At 42.6% G+C, this 18,883-nt stretch overlaps 1 protein-coding gene across 1 annotated transcript in view, besides 1 other annotated feature; it reads left to right on the forward strand.

Moving 5' to 3' along the window:
- DRC1 (dynein regulatory complex subunit 1) overlaps window positions 398-18,883 on the forward strand; it is a 54,792-nt gene continuing 36,306 nt past the window's right edge. The window contains exons 1-2 of the mRNA NM_145038.5: window positions 398-622; window positions 12,822-12,909. Of these exons, the coding sequence (NP_659475.2) occupies window positions 468-622; window positions 12,822-12,909 (243 nt within the window). The 5' untranslated portion in view covers window positions 398-467. The remainder of the gene's footprint in view (window positions 623-12,821; window positions 12,910-18,883) is intronic.
- Window positions 10,785-10,924: an enhancer, noted in NCBI's record as "active region_15472". NCBI's record gives its function as "activates an Ori minimal core promoter by ATAC-STARR-seq in GM12878 lymphoblastoid cells {active_cell/tissue: GM12878}" and the evidence as "EXISTENCE:reporter gene assay evidence [ECO:0000049][PMID:35858748]".

Raw genomic sequence — 18,883 nt, forward strand, 5'->3', positions numbered from 1 at the left:
TCTTTCATAAGTATTTGATTGCAGGTTGGTATCCTGTATCCAAGCACAGCGCTTGGCATCGAGTAGGCGCTCAATTTTATTTGGTGAATATGAGTTGGAGGAATATTTGATGAATGAATGGAAGATGAATTAATCATCAGGGTCAGCAAGTGATGAACCACAACTTGGTCCAGTTCTTTAGTCCTCTAGTCTCCTGGTGAGACTCCACAGCTCCGCTAACACGACCGGGCCTTCGTGGGCCTGACAACAGACCTGACATCCCACGGGCGGGAGAGGCGTCAGCCCGAGGCTGGGATGCTCGGCCGGAACGGCGGCTGGCGGCAGGCTGGGCCCAGGGAGCTGCGCGCGCAACCACTCGGGCTGTGGCTCCGGTGACCGCTCTCCCTGGCAACGGTTTGTTCCTAGCAACCAGCCTGAGGTCTGGAGGTGGTGCGGAGGGAGCCGCCTAGGGACCAGGGACTCCTGCCATGAATCCGCCGGGGTCCCTAGAGGCCCTGGACCCGAACGTGGACGAGCACTTGTCCACCCAGATTCTCGCGCCCTCGGTCCACTCCGACAACTCTCAGGAGCGCATCCAGGCCCGGCGCCTCCGCATCGCTGCGCGCTTAGAAGCCCGGAGGCGGTGAGCGCGGGGGCGGGCGGGGCGGGATCCGCGCCGCAGGAGCCGGAGAAGGGCTGGTTTCCTGATGAAATAGAAACATTTCTTCGGGAAGGTTCAGGCAGAGTATGGGAAAGTAAAACGCTGGGCCGGTGCCGTGGCGCGCGCCTGTCATCCCAGCACTTAGGGAGGCCGAGGCGGGCCGATCACTGGAGCCCAGGAGTTGGAGATGGTCAACCTGGGCAGCATAGAGAGACCCCATCTCTATAAAACATCAAACAATTAATCGGGCGTGGTGGCGTTCGACTGTGGTCTGCACATGGCATCTTTTCCACTACGGACACCTCCAAACCACAGGGTCTGCTGGATCATGTGGCCCAAGTAGCCTGGCTGCTTACACTGTGGCCTGGGTCCTTTCTTGTTCCAGGCACCACTCAAAGCTGGCAGCTTTTTGTGTCAGCCTGAATAATATTCCTAAGTGCGGGATGTATTGTCTCTAGGACCCAAAGTGGCCTAAGAGGCATTGAGTTTCCTTCTCTGTAGAGGATGCAAAATGCAGTAGATTTGTTTTTTACTTGATAGGCTATCCCAGCATCCCACTGACCACTGGACCCCTACAAACTTGAATGACATGGCAGTCCCTGGGCCTTCATAGGGTTGATTGCCCACCGTCTGGAGCACACATGTCTTACCAAGCCCTGCAGTGTGTTTCCATCACTCGCTCACCCTGGCTGATTGCTGCGGGGCCATCAGTGGAATGCAGGGGCCGGCAAACCCTTTCAGTAAAGGGCCAAATAGTAAATATTTTAGGCTTTTCGGATCATATGGCCTCTTTCCTAGCTGCTCAATTGCCATTGTATTGCAAAAGCAGCCACAGGCAAGACATAAACAAATGGGCATGACTGTGTTCCAATAAAGCTTTATTTATGGACACTGAAATTTGAATTTCATATACTGTTCATGTATCACAAAATAGCCTTCTTTTGATAAAAAATAATAATAAACTTTATTTTTTAGAGCAGTTTTTAGGACCACAGCAAAACTGATCAAAAAGTATAGCATTCGCATATACTCCCTGCCCCCACACATGCACAGCTACTGTCAACATCCTGCACTGGAGGGCACATTTGTAACAATATATGAACCTTGGCGCATCGTTATCACTTGAACTCCATTGTTTACCTTAGGGTTTCTTTTTGGTGTTGTACATCCTATGGGTTTGGATAAATTTATGGTGACACGAGCCCACCAGTATAGTATTATACCAAATATTTTTACTGCCCTAAAAATCCCCTGTGCTCTGCTTATTCATCCTAGTCTTTTTTTAACCATTTATTTATTAACCATTTAGAATTGTAAAAATCATTTAAAATTGTAAAAACCATTTAAAATTGTAAAAAATCGTAGCTCATGCCTGTAATCCCAGCACTTTGGGAGGCCAAGGCAGGAGGATCACCTGAGGTCAGGAGTTCAAGACCAGCCTGGCCAACATGGCGAAACCCTGTCTGTACTAAAAATACAAAAATTAGCCAGGTGTGGTGGCAGGCACCTGTAATCTCAGCTACTTGGGAGGCTGAGGCAGGAGAATTGCTCGAACCTGGGAGGCAGAGGTTGCAGTGAGCTGAGATAGCGCCACTGCACTCCAGCCTGGGTGACAAGCACAAAACTCCATCTCAAAAAAAAAAAAAAAAAAAATTGGGCCGGGCGCAGTGGCTCATGCCTGTAATCCCAAAACTTTGGGAGGCTGAGGCGGGCGGGATCACGAGGTCAGGAGTTTGAGACCAGCCTGACCGACATGGTGAAACCCTGTCTCTATTAAAAATACAAAAATTAGCCAGGCATGGTGGCGCGCGCCTGTAATCCCAGCTACTCAGGAGACTGAGGCAGGAGAATCGCTTGAACCCAGGAGGCGGAGGTTGCAGTGAGCTGAGATCGTGCCATTGCACTCCAGCCTGGGCGACAGAGCGAGACTCTGTCTCAAAAAAAAAAAATTGTAAAAATCATTATTTGCCTGGAAGCCATACAAAAACAGGTGGTGGACTGGATCTGTCCCACAGGCCATAGTTTGCCAGTGCTGAAGTAATGGATCATTGTGATGTTCTCTGGGATATCCAGATGTCCCTGATATATTCAGAATATATTATGACAGAGATCAGGAGAACTACCATGGTCCTGTGAGTGTGACCGACTTGTGAGTGTATATCATTGTCTGTTCCATGTAAATGTGAACTTCCTGATTATTTTTCCTGATTGAGGTAGAAAAGCATGCATTTGGCCCAATCAGTAGCCACACATACTGTGCCTGAGGCTGTACAAATTTGCTCTAGTGAAGCTTACCACACTTGCATAGATGCTGTGTTCAGGAGTGCTACCTGTGGAGCTTCTGGTAGTTGACAGTCACTTTCTAGGATCCAGTTTCTGCAGGTGCCAGACCCATGAATTAAAAGGAGATTCAATAGGGATCACCATTCCTGCATCGTTGAGATACTTCAGGGTGGCACTAATCCCCACCAACACCCCTGGGTGGCAATATTTTTTTTTGTGTACTGAGGTGCAGTTTCAGAGATGTCCTTTTGGCCTTCCCCACTATGGTAGCTCTATTTATAGGCCAAGGAGTGGAGTTTTTCAAACTTCTAAGTATGTAGGTCCCAATTATACTTTTGGCCATTAGAGACATGATTGCTGGCTGAGTCCACAGACTTGGCAGACCCTCTGTAAGTAGGACTTTGCCTCCCCTGTGTCCTCACTCTAAGTGGGTGGGAGCATGCTTTGGGTCTCTGGGTGTCAATGGTAACTCAGACCCTGTTCTAATCCTAAACATTTCTGGGTATCCTCTTTCCTTATTGTGCAGCCCTCCTGAGTAGATGACCCTAGGCCCCTTTGGGGAAGAACTGGGGGAATCATTACAATATATATTTGCCGTTGTGTTCCAGATCCTTCCTTGTGGGGACCCTGCTGCCTCTTCAGTCAATAGATTCTGGCTCTGAACACTGGCTTAGGTTCAGGAATTGGGCAAGGGAGCATGAATCTTTACCAGCGTGCACCCTTAGCCTATTTATCCTTTGCTGCTTTCTTTGGTGAGCACCTATGAGTTGTATTCTTGTTGGCTGCCCTTTCGTTTTGCACCAAATGATGCCATATTTTGTAAGCCATCTTTAAAACTCTCTGTGGATCAAGCCCTTGTCTGCTACTCTGACCTTGGCAGTTGTGCTGGGGATTCTATGATAAACAAGGCAAATATAATCTCTGTTCTCAGGAAGCTTATATTCTAATGAGGGAGATGGGAAAAAATAAAGTGCAACTAAACAAGTAAACAAATAACATAATTATACATTTTGAAAAGAATCCTAACGGAAACAAGCAATGAGCAAATATGAAGAATAATAGATGTGGCACCTGAAGGTAGGTGGTCAGTGAGGGTGAGAAAGAGCTGTCAATGTAAAGAGTTGTACTGGGCATTCAATTATATTAAGGAACTTTTTGGCTATGATAATGGTATGGTGGTCTTGTTTTTTTTTTTTAAAGGCTATATCTTTTTTTTTTTTTTTTTTTTTTTTGAGGCCGAGTCTCACTCTGTCTATGCAGGCAGGAATGCAGTGGCGCAGTCTTGGCTTACTGCAATCTCCACCTCCCAGGTTCAAGTGATTCTCCTGGCTCAGCCTCCCGAGTAACTGGGATTACAGGCAGCTGCCACCACACCCAGCTAATTTTTTATTTTTAGGAGAGACGGGGTTTCACCATGTTGGCCAGGCTAGTCTCGAACTCCTGGCCTCAGGCAATCCACCTGCCTCAGCCTCCCAAAGTGCTGGGATTACAGGCGTGAGCCACTGCGCCCTGCCTCTATTCTTTATTAGTGGTTGGGGCCGCGCATTGTGCGTAAGTGAGCTGGGACCATTCTGTACCATTTCAATGTGCTCTCAAAACAAATGCATGCAGCTGAGTCTGTGCGAGCCTGGAAGCTCCCTGAATTAACTTCTCTGTTAATTAAAGGAAAAGAGATTAAAATATGTTATATTGAAGCTTACATATATATTATTAATAGCCAACAGTAATTGCAGCAATGGATCAGAACTTAGATTGACAAGAGCTTTTTCAGAAAGGAATATTTTACTACTGACATTGTTTCGAATTGCTGGCACATGTGATAATAAAAAGCAGTTGTATTGTTTTTACTTTACCTATAGGCAGTGCACCCACCCCTCGGTTGCCTGTGATACCCACTGCTGTTGCTGCCTGGGCCTTCTTATGTCATGAGGTGTAATGTTAAGGTGAAAGTTAACAGAATCAAATGTCATATAAAGAGTACAGCCGGGCGTGGTGGCTCACGCCTATAATCCTAGCAGTTTGGGAGGCTGAGGTGGGTGGATCACTTGAGGCCAGGAGTTCGAGACCAGCCTGGCCAACATAGTGAAACCCCTGTCTCTACTAAAAAGACAAAAAATTAGCCTGGCTTGGTGGCACACTCCTGTAATCCCAGCTACTCAGGAGACTGAGGCATGAGAATTGCTTGAACACCGGGAGGTGGAGGTTACAGTGAGCCAAGATCGAGCCACTGTACTCCAGCCTGGATGACAGAACGAGACTCCTTCTCAAAAAAACCAAAAAGAATAGGAATAATGTGCTAATGGCCCTGATACTCCCAATCTCTGGTGTCTTAGTTTAGGTTTGACATTTCTGGGAGATGTCACTTTCCTTTTTTTTTTTTTTTTTTTTTTGAGACAGGGTCTCACTCTGTCACCCGGGTTGGAATGCAGTGGTGTGACCTTGGCTCACTGCAACTTCCACCAGCTAGACTCAAGTGATCCCCCCCACCCCAGCCTCTCGAGTAGCTGGGACCACAGGTGCACACCACCATACCCCGCTAATTTTTTGTATTTTTGGTAGAGATGGGGTTTCACCATGTTGCCCAGACTGGTCTTGAACTCCAGAGCTCAAGTGATCCTGCCACCTTAGCCTCGAAAAGTGCTGGGATTATAGGTGTGAGCCACCACACCCAGCCGGGAGATGTCACTTCTGGGTAAAGATGCGAGATGGAACACATACATCTACCTTAGATCTCTATCATTTTAACTCCATTAAAATGATATTTAAGGGGATTAAGTAAAAAAGACGCAAATCCACAAAGTCAAGATCAGGAGGACTCAACAGCAATGAAATTGTGGATGCTGGGAAGCACAAGATAGATGGTAAATGGGTGAGCAGATTCAAGAAGATGGAAAAATAAGCTGATAGTGAAGAAAGCTGAGAACCCCCTTGATTTACTCTGCACTAAATCCCCAAAGACTAGGAGACTGATGGCATATCATATTCATCCGTGAGGATTTAAAAAATCCTATGGCCCTTCCAATGGAGTGACAGGACCTCTGTGGCCGAGAGACCTCAAAGTTCTTAGCCCTTAGCAGTGACAGGAGACTGGACATGTCCACTTCCTGCTACCCCCGTCCCTTTACTAATTATTATGAGGTCTTATCAAAGGCTGACCTGAAGATGACAAAAGGCCAGAAGACTCCTTGGCTTACTTCGTCCGACCACCCGGCACCCTCCTCCTCATGTTTATGGTTCCAACCTGACAACAACCCTGGACCACAGAGACCTCTTCCTGGACGACTGCCAACTTCAGGCCAGTTTGGACCGGTTCCCTGAGACTGCACAGATCCTGGACTTGTGCCCTAAGCATCACCTTTTTGCATTTATGACCCAATTGTAGTACATTTAAATGTTAAATCTCCACCCCAAAGTGAACATGAGTAGCATATTGTTGTATGTTCCGTGCACATGTAAGCCTAATGCACGTGCGTAATGAGTTTTCTCCGTAAATATTCACAACCTTCTCCTATATCCTGTAGAATATGCGTTTCCTACCTCCTCACCTAGCAGAAATATCTGCCTTATTTTCTCCCCTTCAAAGCCTGCTTCTCAGTCTCAGTTGAAAGCTTGCTTCCTGCCTGCAGGTTGTGTCCTTTAGAAATAAAGTTCTCTTTTGATTTTGTGGATTCTGACTCTTTTTCAGTTGACATCTAGAAGTGGAGGTGACAAAGGGAACCAAAATAAGGACAACCGATTGGAAAATTAATAGGTAGATGCCTAGAACCTTTCTCTCTCTTTGCACAGAAGATTGGAGGTTTGGAGAAAGTCAAGCGGAGGATCTAGGGCTTGGGGGATGCTAGACAGAGGCGAGGCAAGGATACTTCATGGAAAATAAGGGGATTCAGGGAAAATATGCACAGTGGATGCCAGGACCTTCCAGCTCTCCTCTCACCAGTTCCTGGAATGGTGGCACTTCAGCCTTCATATTCCAGGCAGGAGGCTGGAGAAGTTTCTCTGTGGAATCCGACCAGCCCCAAAAGAAGGATTTAAAGACACTAATGTTGGTCTGGGCACAGTGGCTCATGCCTGTAATCCAGCACTTTGGGAGGCCAAGAGGGGTGGATAACCTGAGGTCTGGAGTTTGAGACCAGCCTGGCCAACATGGTAAAACCCCGTCTCTACTAAAAATATGAAAATTAGCGGCGTGGTGGTGCATGCCTGTAATCCCAGCTACTTGGGAGGCTGAGGCACGAGAATTGCTTGAACCTGGGAGGCGGAGGTTGCAGTGAGCCGAGATCGTGCCACTACACTCCAGCCTGGGTGACAGAGGGAGACTCTGTCTCAAAAATAAAATAAAATAAAATAAAAATAATAAAGACACTAACATCGGGTTTGCTCACAAAGCAGCCCGATTAAATCAGCCCACGCTGACATGCACAGTTGTTAAGCCACACCCTTGTACTCACAGCTCCCGTCAGCTTTAAAAAAAATTTATTTTTATTATTTATTTATTTATTTTTTAAGCAACAGAGTCTCACTCCATTGCCCAGGCTGGAGTGCAGTGGTTTGATCATAGCTTAGTATAACCTTGAATCCTGGGCTCAAGCAGTCCTCCTGCCTCAGCCTCCTGAGTGTCTGGCACTACAGGTGCAGGCCACCATGCCCGGCTAATTTTTTTTTTTTTTTTAGAGATGGAGTCCTGCTATGTTGCCCAGGCTAGTCTTAAACTCCTGGGTCAAGTGGTCCTCCTGCCCTGGCCTCCCATAGTGCTGGGATTACAGGCATGAGCCACTGTGCTCAGCCCCATCAGCTTGTTTTTAATGTTTAAATTTTTATTTGTCACACTATTAAAATTTATTTTTTCTGCTTTATCCTGACACCATATTACAAGCTTCCAAATGGCTAGGGACTTAGATTGAAATGATACTAATTTGTCCTTATTTTCTCTAAATTCTTGGATTCTGTATAATCAGGTGTGTTTATGTACACATAACCAAAACAAACCATCCTTTATGTAGTTTTTTTTTAAAGGCAGCTGTTTCTTTAACAACAACTAGGTAGCTACTGTGAAGATGGTGACATGTAAAATTGGTAGTATTAGTATCCTTTTCCCAAGTTGTCATGGAAGTTACCATTATACTTATAGCTTTAGGTCTTTGGTACATCTCAGACAAGATAGGCAAGAATTTGGAGAACATTTTGAAAATAAGAGCAATAGACACATTCAGCAACAACTAGAATAATGGAACTCAAAGTTCTAAAATTACATGATATAAGTGAAAACAGCTTTAAAAGCTACCTCATAAGAGTTGTTTTATCATTAGCTTGATTTTTTCCACGTAAAACAGTGTTTATTTATTTTTAACCCATGTTTTAATTTTTTCATAGGCTTTTTAGTTCTTGTCATGAGTCAGTAACTGAGGATTTCTAGGCATCTGAGGAAAGTCTTTAACATGAATGGTAGATATGAAAATTAACAAAGAGAAAAAAGCACCTAAGAGGACATTAAGACTATATGTGGGGAGAAAAAAACAAGAATACCACAAAAAGATGATCATTCAGATCCTCAGAGAGAGTTTTGAAGTCTTTGGGGGAAAAAGAGGGAAAAAAAAGATCCTCAAAGAAAAAAGAGATGATATGGCAACCACGAAACAAGAATAGAATGCTACTAAAAGGAGTGTTCAGAGAAAAAAAATAGAGCTCTTAGAAATAAAAAAATTATAGAAATAGAAAACATTAGAAGGGTTGGAAAATAAAGATGATGAAATCACCTAGAAAATAGAGCGCAAAGAAAAAAGGTAGAAACTTATAGAGAAAATATTATTATTATTATTATTATTATTATTATTATTATTAATTTTGATACGGAGTTTCACTCTTGTTGCCCAGGCTGGAGTGCAATGGCATGATCTCGGCTCACTGCAACCTCTGCCTCCTGGGTTCAAGCAATTCTCCTGCCTTGGCCTCCCAAATAGCTGGGATTACAGACACCTGCCACTATGCCCGGCTAATTTTTGTATTTTTAGTAGAGACAGGGTTTCACCATGTTGGCCAGGCTGGTCTCGAACTCTTTACCTCAGGTGATCCACCCGCCTTGGCCTCCCAAAGTGCTGGGATTACAGGCATGAGCCACTGCACCCAGCCAGAGAAAAATATTTTTTTTTAATTAGAAGATATTATCACTTTTCTAGATCCAGAAAGAATGGAGCAGGGAGCATATTATCATGGAAAGAATTCAAGAACATGTCTCAGACCTGAAGATCATGAGGTTCCTGATTGAAATGTCTAGCACAATGGATGAAAATAGACCCACCCTAAGGCACACCATTGAGAAAGTTCAGAACACTGAGAATAAAGAGAAAGGGCCTACGAGCTTCCAGAGTGAAACAAAACAAAACACAACAAAACAAAACAAAACAAAAACATGGTCACATATAAAAAACAAAAATATGGTCACATACAAAGAAAGGCATAAAGACAGAATGACTTCAGGTTTCTCAGTTAGCAACACTGGAAGGAAGCAGTGAAGGAAAGTTATTTCCAACCTAGAACTCTAAACCCAGGTAGACAATCAACCAAGTTCCAATTTTTTTAAATCCTGAGAATTGGTCAGGAAGTAGAGTATTCAAGATGGCAGCTCCCATTTAGACCACAAACATGGGGCGGTGGTGAGGAAACAGCTTCCCAAAAGAGGACTCAGCCCCCAGGAGGGAGGGAGCTCAAATCTGAATAGACAGAAGTCTGAAACAGTTGCTTTGGAGAACATACTAGTTCTACACTGCTGAACAACAGAAATACAGTATCAGCCACATATGTCATTTCAAGTTTTCTAGTAGCCACATTGAAAGTGGTAAAAACAGAACAGGTGAAATTAATAATTTATTTAACCCAATATATAAAAGTATTATTTTAATATGCAATCAGTGTAAATCATACTGATGAGATATATTGCAAATATTTTTTGTTCAAAGTCTTCAAAATCCATCTAGAGTGTATTTTACACTCATAGCGCATTTCAATTTGCACCAGGCACATTTCAAGTGCTTTATAGCCACATGTGGTTATTGGCTACCATATTGGACAGTACAGTGCTAAGCAGTAAAAAATGATGCATAAAAGACAATGATGAGATTTAAGTTAATAGTAGTTAATAAGAATTTATAGCATATCTGCAGACTGGCCAACATGGTGAAACCCCATCTTTACTAGAAATACAAAAGTTAGCTGGGTGTGGTGGTGCGTGTTTGTCGTCCCAGCTACTCGGGAGACTGAGTCAGCAGAATTACTTGAACCTGGGTGGCGGAGGTTGCAGTGAGCCGAGATGGCTCCACTGCACTGCAGCCTGGGGACAGAGCAAGACTCTGTCTTAAAAAAAAAAAAAATTATAGCATATCTGGACTGCATGGTTTTTTTGTTGTTGTTGTTGTTTGTTTGTTTCTGAAGCACTGATCTTTGATCCAGAAAGCACTTGGAAGGGATTATTTAAATAGAGTTGGTCATTAATTGGTGGTCAAAGTAGAAAGTCAAGGGAATTTTTTGAGTGGTGATGGGAACATGATAAGCCTGGCAATAGCTGAAGACCTGAGTAAAATGGAACAATTAGTTTACTTGGTAAGAAAACAAAGAGCATGTTCAATAAGAATAGGGAAGCCAATGAAATGACAAGAAAAAAACAAGGGGTTTTGGTTAGATTGGGAGTGGAGGATGGTAACTCAATTCTGTATCTCCAAAATAGTGTTACACTAGGTAGGATTGTCCTGGACTTTGAACAAAGGGAGTAGAGATGGAAGTCAGAGTTAGAAAAAGTCAAGAAAGAATGAGATAAAGAGATCTGCTAGGCTGAGGCGGGAGAATTGCTGGAACCCAGGAGGCAGAGGTTGCAGTGAGCCGAGATCGCGCCATTGCACTCCAGCCTGGGCAACAAGAGCGAAACTCCGTCTCAAAAAACGAAATGAAACCAAACAAAAAAACAAACCTGCTGTGTCATGTTGAGGTTTCATTTTTCCTAAGGCAGTACTGGTAGCCCTTATGGACACTGTGTGCCAGAGGAGAGAGCAGGGTCTTGATGATGTAAGTGGCGTGGGGGTTGGTGAGGTCACTCCCCCATGCCTCCCCTGAAGAAGTCTATAATCTGGAACTTTATCTCGCCACCGCCCCTTTAGTCTCATTTTCTGATTCACACACACAGACAAGCACACACACATGCACTATTTAGAAAATTCATGCAATACAAAAATGTAGAAAATAGAACTTCTCAGTAATTTAATTCCTGTTCTTTAAGTAATTGCTGTTATTCGTTTGTCATATATACTTCCAGAAAATGTCCTGTGCACATATAAGCCTGTTTTTTGTTTTTGTTTTTGTTTTTCAGACAGAGTCTCGCTCTCCCGCCCAGGCTGGAGTGCAGTGGCGCTATCTCGGCTCGGCTCACTGCAAGCTCCGCCTCCCGGGTTCACGCCATTCTCCTGCCTCAGCCTCCCAAGTAGCTGGGACTACAGGCGCCCACCACCACGCCCGGCTAATTTTTTGTATTTTTAGTAGAGACGGGGTTTCACCGTGTTAGCCAGGGTAGTCTCGATCTCCTGACCTCGCGATCCACCCGCCTCGGCCTCCCAAAGTGCTGGGATTACAAGCGTGAGCCATCGCGCCCAGCCAAGCCTGTTTTAAAAAGAAAATGTGTATTATAGTCTACATATTTTTCTAAAACTGGCTCCCTTTACTTAACTGCTGTGGACATCTTTCCCTGCTGTTAGGTATTACATCATTCTTTTTGTAGGCTACAAAGTATTTCTGAAATATTGTTTTCTCTTAATTAGTCAGCTACTAATATGTATGTAGAATGTTTCCATGGTCTTACGAGTATTGTCAGTGCTACAATCATCTTTCTCGTGCATATTTATTTATGTACTTGTAAAGGCTTTCTGTAAAAAATTCCTAAAGAAAGGATTGTTGGGTCAGAGGGAAGGCACATTTAAGCTTTTGACAAATCTTGCCGAATTGCCTTTTAGACACGTTGTTATACTTTACATTCCCACCCATGGAATGTGGAAAGCTGGGCTCCCACCTGATACTGTCAACCCTTAAAATCTTTTTTAGTCTCATAATAGAGTAATGACACCTCACAGGGTTTTGGTTTCTCTGATTATATGTGAAGCTGACCATATTTTCAAATGCCTATTTGCCATTTGTATTTCTTTGGGAAACTGCCTGTTCATATCCTCTGCCAGTTTTTCTCTTTGGTATTTTGTCTTTTGTTTATTGATTTGAAGGAGCCCTTCCTATTTTATGGATAGTAAAATTTTGTCAAATATCTTTTATCAGTTTATCCCTTGACTTTCAAGGATAAAATTTCTAAATTTTAGAAAGTAAAATCTTTTAATCTTTTTATTTTCTGACTTTGGTCTTATTCAAAGATGGGTTTTCTATGCTAAGATTATATAGATATTCTCCTGTATTTACTTCTAGTGTTTTTATGATTGCAGTTTTTTTAATATTTAAGTTTTTTAAATGATAGAGATAGTGTCTCTCTATGTTGCCCAGGCTGGTCTCAAACTCCTGATTTAAAGCAGTCCTTCTGCCTTGGCCTCCCAAAGCGCTGGGATTAACAGGTGTGAGCCACTGCACCTGGCCAATATTTAAATTTTAATCCATATGGAATATATATTTATATATGAAGTACAATGGAACCATTATTATTATTATTATTATTATTATTATTGTTTTACATAAATAGAGATGGGGGTCTTGCTATTTTGGCCATGCTGATCTTGAACTCCTGGCCTTAAGCAATCCTCCTGTCTTGGTCTCCCAAACTGTTGGGATTACAGGCATGAGCTACTGTGCCAGGCCAAAACCTTTAAATATAGAATTTACGTATTAGAAATAACTTCATTTTCTCTGCTTTTTTCCATCACAGGGAAGCACTTGGAGAATATTTAGATGGGAAGAAGGAGAGTGAGGAGGATCAAAGCAAGAGCTACAAACAGAAAGAAGAAAGCCGATTGGTATGAACTGGTTGGCAGATGGGCTCTGGAAGACCAGTGAGCTGGGTGTGACATCATGGTTTTCACATTTAGACTGGAAGAAATCATGTGGTCCATGTTGCTGTCTCTAGGCAGAACTGAATAGAATCTTTCCCATTTGAGAGCTCTCTAGGAGTGAGCTTTCAGATGACAGTTTCTTATATTTACGCTGTCTCTTCTCTGCTCATGCACTTTTAATGGTATTCACTCTTCATAGGATAAAGTCCAGATGTTTTAGCTTGGGCGCTCAAGGCCTTTGGTAGTCTGTTCCCATCTTCACTTTCCAAACATATCTCCTGTTTGTTACCTAATTTGGGCCTTCCACTTTGGTGAGGCGGATCCACTCACTCCCCTCCAGTGGGGTTTTGTTCATTTCTGCTCTGTGCCTTTGATCATCTGGAATGCCAGGCCCCCTCTATTCTCCTCTTCTTCTCTCCTCTCATCTGGCCACTTTCCCATTTTCAACAACCATCTCAAGACCCAAATCCTCCTCGGATTCTTCCTCAGCCCAGCCTGAGCTCCCTTTCTCCACACATTGAATACTTCCTGTCTGTGCTATTCTTTTCATTTTAGATAGCTTTCTGCTGCATATGACTTTTCAGATGTGTGTGCCTGCAGTGCCCCAGTGAAACTGTATGTACTGTGAGAATGAGAGCCTCTTTTTGTAGCCGTGGGGTAGTGCGTAGCTTGTACTCAGTAGACACAAAAAAGAAAATCATTGATTACCCTCCATGGCGATGAAACAGCCCCTGGGATGCTGAGGGATAAACAGCAGCTCAAAACAGCAGACCAGAACTGGCAAAATGCTGCATTTAATCAATGTTAAGTGAAAGGCAAAAATGGTGATACCGTGTGAACTCAGATATGGAGAGGAACTCACCAAGCTGGCCTGGTCAGGGAAAGTTCGATGGAGAAAGTGGGATTTGAGTTGTCTTAGAAATATAGGTGGGAATTTTAAGAGCAGAGGAGAGATCATTTCTGGTGAGAAAAAATATTCACGTTGCTGAATATGATTATAGAGCATAGAGGTATAGAGAGATCACTGAATATCTCACACTGTGTTAGGGATAAGATATTTTACTGTGGAAAGGATACTGGACTGATGTGGGTTTTTGTTCCTGATCTCTTACCTACTGCAGAGTAGATGATTCATGTCACTTTTTTGTACTTCGTTCTCTTCATTTAAAAGTCAGTGAGCTCAGCCGGGCGCGGTGGCTCACGTCTATGATCCCAGGACTTTGGGAGGCCGAGGCGAGCGGATCACCTGAGGTCAGGAGTTCAAGACCAGCCTGGCCAACATGGTGAAACCTCGTCTCTACTAAAAATACAGAAGTTGGCTGGGCCTGGTGGCACACGCCTGGGGTCCCCCCTACTTAGGAGGCTGAGGCAGGAGGATTCCTTGAACCCACGAGGTGGAGGTTGCAGTGATCTGAGATCAGGCCACTGCACTCTAGCCTGGGTGACAGAGGGAGACTCTTTCTCTTTCAAAAAAAAAAAAAAAAAAAAAGTCAGTGATCTCTGAGCATTTCTGTGTAGGACAAAAGGATATTAGATTTTTTAAAATGCTGATATACAGTTCACCCCGAGCACTCCTTAGTTAGGTATAAAACCAAAGAGATAATATTGTTTTCATTAGCAGGTTTTGAAGGTTCCTTTCACTTAGGAATTAAGTAGTGAAGAGCCTTGGCATCAAGGAGAAATGTACACAAAAATGCTCCCTTCCTCAAGATTAAGGCATTGATTATTAGTTCTGACCTAAGATCTGGGCAGGCTGGTCCCCACCCTTGACCCTGCAGTTTTTCATTTTTTTTCTTTTTTGAGACGGAGTCTTGCTCTGTCACCAGGCTGGAGTGCAGTGGTGCAATATTTTTAGTAGAGACAGGGTTTTCCCCATGTTGGCCAGGATGGTCTTGATCTCTTGACCCAGTGATCTGCCTGCCTCAGCCTCCCAAAGTGCTGGGATTACAAGCGTGAGCCACCGTGCCCGGCCTTACCATGTTTTTAGTGGTCATTATTTTTGTGTCCTGTTTAACCTTTGTCTACTTCATATTTATGAAGATAGTCTTCTATCGTTTCTTCTAGAAGCTTTATAATTCTATCATTTACATTTTGGCCTATGACCTATCTGGAATTGATTTCTGTCTGTCGTGTAAGGGTAGGGTTCCAGGTTCATTGTTTTCTATGTAGATTTTTAGTTGACCCAGCACCGTTTACTGAAAAGATCATCCTTTCCCCACTGCATTGTTGTGCACCTTTGTTGTGAATCAGGTGACCATGTATGTGTGAGTTCGTTTCTACATTCTCCATTCTCTTTTTTGGTATCTATATGTCTGTCTGTATTAGTTCATTCTCACATTGCTATAAAGAAATACTTGAGACTGGATAATTTATAAGGAGGTTTAATTGGCTCATGGTTCTGCAGGCTGTACAAGAAGCATAGTGACTTCTGCTTCTGAGGAGGCCTCAGGAAGCTTCTAATCATGGCAGAAGGCAAAGGGGAAGCAGGCATCTCACATGGCAGGAGCAGGAGTGAGAGAGAGAGTGCAAGGAGGTGCCACACACTTTACAACAGCCAGATCTCACGAGAACTCACTCACTATCATGAGAACACCACCAAGAGGATGGTGCTAAACTATGAGGAATCCACCCCCATGATCCAATCATTTCCCACCAGGCTCCACCTCCAACTCTGGGGATTAAAATTCAACATAAGATTTGGGCAGGGACAAAAGATCGAAACTATATCCAAACTATATCACCAGCTCTGTGCCAATTCCACTCAGTTTTAATTACTGTAGCTTTATGACAGTTCTTGATGTCTGGTAAGGTAAGTTCTCTAACTGTGTTCTTCCGGATTGTCTTGGCTACTTGGCTATTCTTTTTTTTTTTTTTTTCTTCCGAAACAGCCTCGTTCTGTCATCCAGGCTGGGGTGCAGTGGCACAATCTTGGCTCACTGCAACCGCCGCCTCCTGGGTTCAAGTCATTCTCATGCCTCAGCCTTCTGAGTAGCTGAGATTACAGGCATGTGCCACCATACCTAGCTAATTTTTGTATTCTTACCGGAGACGGGATTTCACCATGTTGGCCAGGCTGGTCTCCAACTCTTGGCCTCAGGTAATCCTCCTGCCTCAGCTTCCCAAAGTGCTGGGATTACAGGCATGAGCCACTGCGCCCAGCCTTGTCTTGGCTATTCTTGACATATACATTTTAGAATCAGCTTGTCAATTTCTACCTAAAAACCTGCTGGAATTTCAATTGATTGAATAGAATTTATAATCCATGGGAGGTATTCTTTAATTTGGCTCAGCAATGTTTTGTACTTTTTGTTCAGGTTATAATGGTTCGTGGTGGTATATAAATGTACAGTTGATTTTAATACATTGACTTGGTATCTGGTGACCTTGCCAAATTCACTTGTTAATTCTAATAGTTACCTGTGGCTTCTTTTGAATATTTTTTTACGTCTATAATCATATCATCTGAAAATAATGAGTTTTATTTCTTCCTGTCTAATTTTATATCTTCTATTTTTTTCTTCCCTTATTGCATTAGTTGGATGCTCCAGCTCATTTAATGAGCTCCAGCTCATTAAAAAATTGGTGACGATGGGGGTCCAGGTTCTGCTCTGGATTTCCTGCGGATACATCCCCTCAAGTAGACTTGTCCCATGTCCCTTCAAACCCCCATTGTCCCCTCTAGATTACTGAGTCCGATGGGAGCCAAAATTCCCCGTCCAAATGACTTTGAGCCCACCTTCAACCTATATGTGCCTCTTCCCGGAGTCTGTCCTGCTCAGGGCAGATGAGGCCAATGTTATGCAACCCCTGGGGCTAACAGATGGCCACAGGGTATAGATGGAGCTTGGATGTGCAGTTGGGGAAATCCGCATGCCTGCAGGACAGAGCTGGGGGTGGGCTGGGAGCTGTGGCCAGAGGCAGGCTCTTCCTTAGCCACCCAGTTATCAGTAGAACTCTGAGGTGTGTCTGAATTCAAACTAGGACTTTTAAATTGTCATAAAGGTATTGTGATAGGAGGATATATATAAAATATAGTTTAAATATATATTATATATTAATAATATACAATATATTATAAATTATATATAATTTATATATAATATATATTATATATAAATTATATATAATTTATATAATATATAAATTATATATAATATAAATTATATATAATTTATATAATATATAAATTATATATTATATAAATTAAATATAATTTATATTATATATAAATTATATTTAATTTATATAATATATAAATTATATTTAATTTATATATAATATAAATTATATTTTTATATATTATGTATAATTTATATATTTATACATATATACATTATAATATATTGTATAGTATATATAATATATAGTATATATAAAGCATATTATATATTATATATACAACATTATATATTATATATATTATATTATATATATATTTTGAGACAGAGTCTCACTCTGTCACCTAGGCTGGAGTACAGTTGCATGATCTCAGCTCACTGCAACCTCCACCTCCTGGGTTCACGCGATTCCCCTGCCTCAGCCTCCCAAGTAGCTGGGACTATAGGTGTGCACCACCATGCCTGGCTAAGTTTTATATTTTTAGTAGAGACGGGGTTTCACCATGTTGTTCAGGCTGGTCTTGAACTCCTGGCCTCAGGTGAACCGCCCGTGTTGGCCTCCCAAATTGCTGGGATTACAGGTGTGAGCCACCATGCCCGGCTGAATGTTTTATTTAACAATTTTTACATGATACTATAATTTAAAAATATTTAGACATATGGTATGTGGACCTCCATTTAAATGCTTTCCCTGGATCTCATAAAGGTGAGGGGCATTTTGGTCTGTTGGTGGCTGACATTTGGATTTTTAATTTTACTTTGAGTCTTAAATACTTGATTCAGAAATTTCTGGAACTCCAGTAATTGGTTAGCACATGGTACTTATACAGAACTCTCTGATGTTCACATTGAGTAGAAACTAGAAAATAACCCCAAACTGCAGGAAAGCCATTACTTCCTTATGCACGTAAAACCATTTTGTACAAGTGATAAAACTGCAGGCATTAACAAAAAATCTAGAGTGCCCTGGATATCTGGGTTAAAGCTCTGTTCTGTATTCAATGAAACTACATTTCAAATTTTTCATATAATAGTGAGATCAAGTGAAGTCTCTGGTCATTTCTGTGACTCCTTGGTGTAGAAGTTTTATAGGTTCCTAGTTTAAAAATTATTTGAGAGTTGGAGAGTTCATAAGTTCCAAAAAGACTTGAAAAAACTTAGGCATAACCTAAGGATACTCGAACTTTTTGTTGAGAGGATTTATCATCTTGAATAACATCACAACAAGGCTAGGAGTGAAGATACTGGAGATGGAATTTACGAAGAGGGATTTAGAAGGATGGCACCAATTACAAAATCCCTGAGCCCATTAAGGAGACAGCAGTGCAGCCAGCTACAATCTTTTCCTGCCTTAGAATCCATGTAATGAAAGACTCCACATATCATTAGCTGCAGCAGGACAGAAGCTTGTTTCTCTGTCTCAACAGTTCCGAGTATAAGTAGTCCAGGGCTCACATGGATGGGGTCTGCTTGATGATGGGACCTCAGCTCCCTCTGCCATTGCTTGAGTTGCCTTTATCTGCTCATCACCTTTTACTTGAGCCCCACATGCCAGCCTGGGAGAAGGGGCAGAAGTGGGGCAGCAGAGGGTACACCTTTTCCCCTTAAAGTCACAATTCAGAAGTGGCACACATTACTTCTCCTGTGTCACTGATCAGATAGTATTCTAGGTGCAAGGGAGGCTGGGAAAGGTACCTATTTTGGGAAGCCACATCCCAGCAAAAATTTGAGTGTTCTGTTACTAAAAGGAGAGGGAGAAATGGACATGGGAGCACAGCTGTCATTACCTGCCTCACTGTCATTATCTGCCTCACTGTCAT

This window comes from Homo sapiens, chromosome 2, assembly GCF_000001405.40.
Source record: "Homo sapiens chromosome 2, GRCh38.p14 Primary Assembly".
Lineage (NCBI taxonomy): Eukaryota > Metazoa > Chordata > Mammalia > Primates > Hominidae > Homo > Homo sapiens.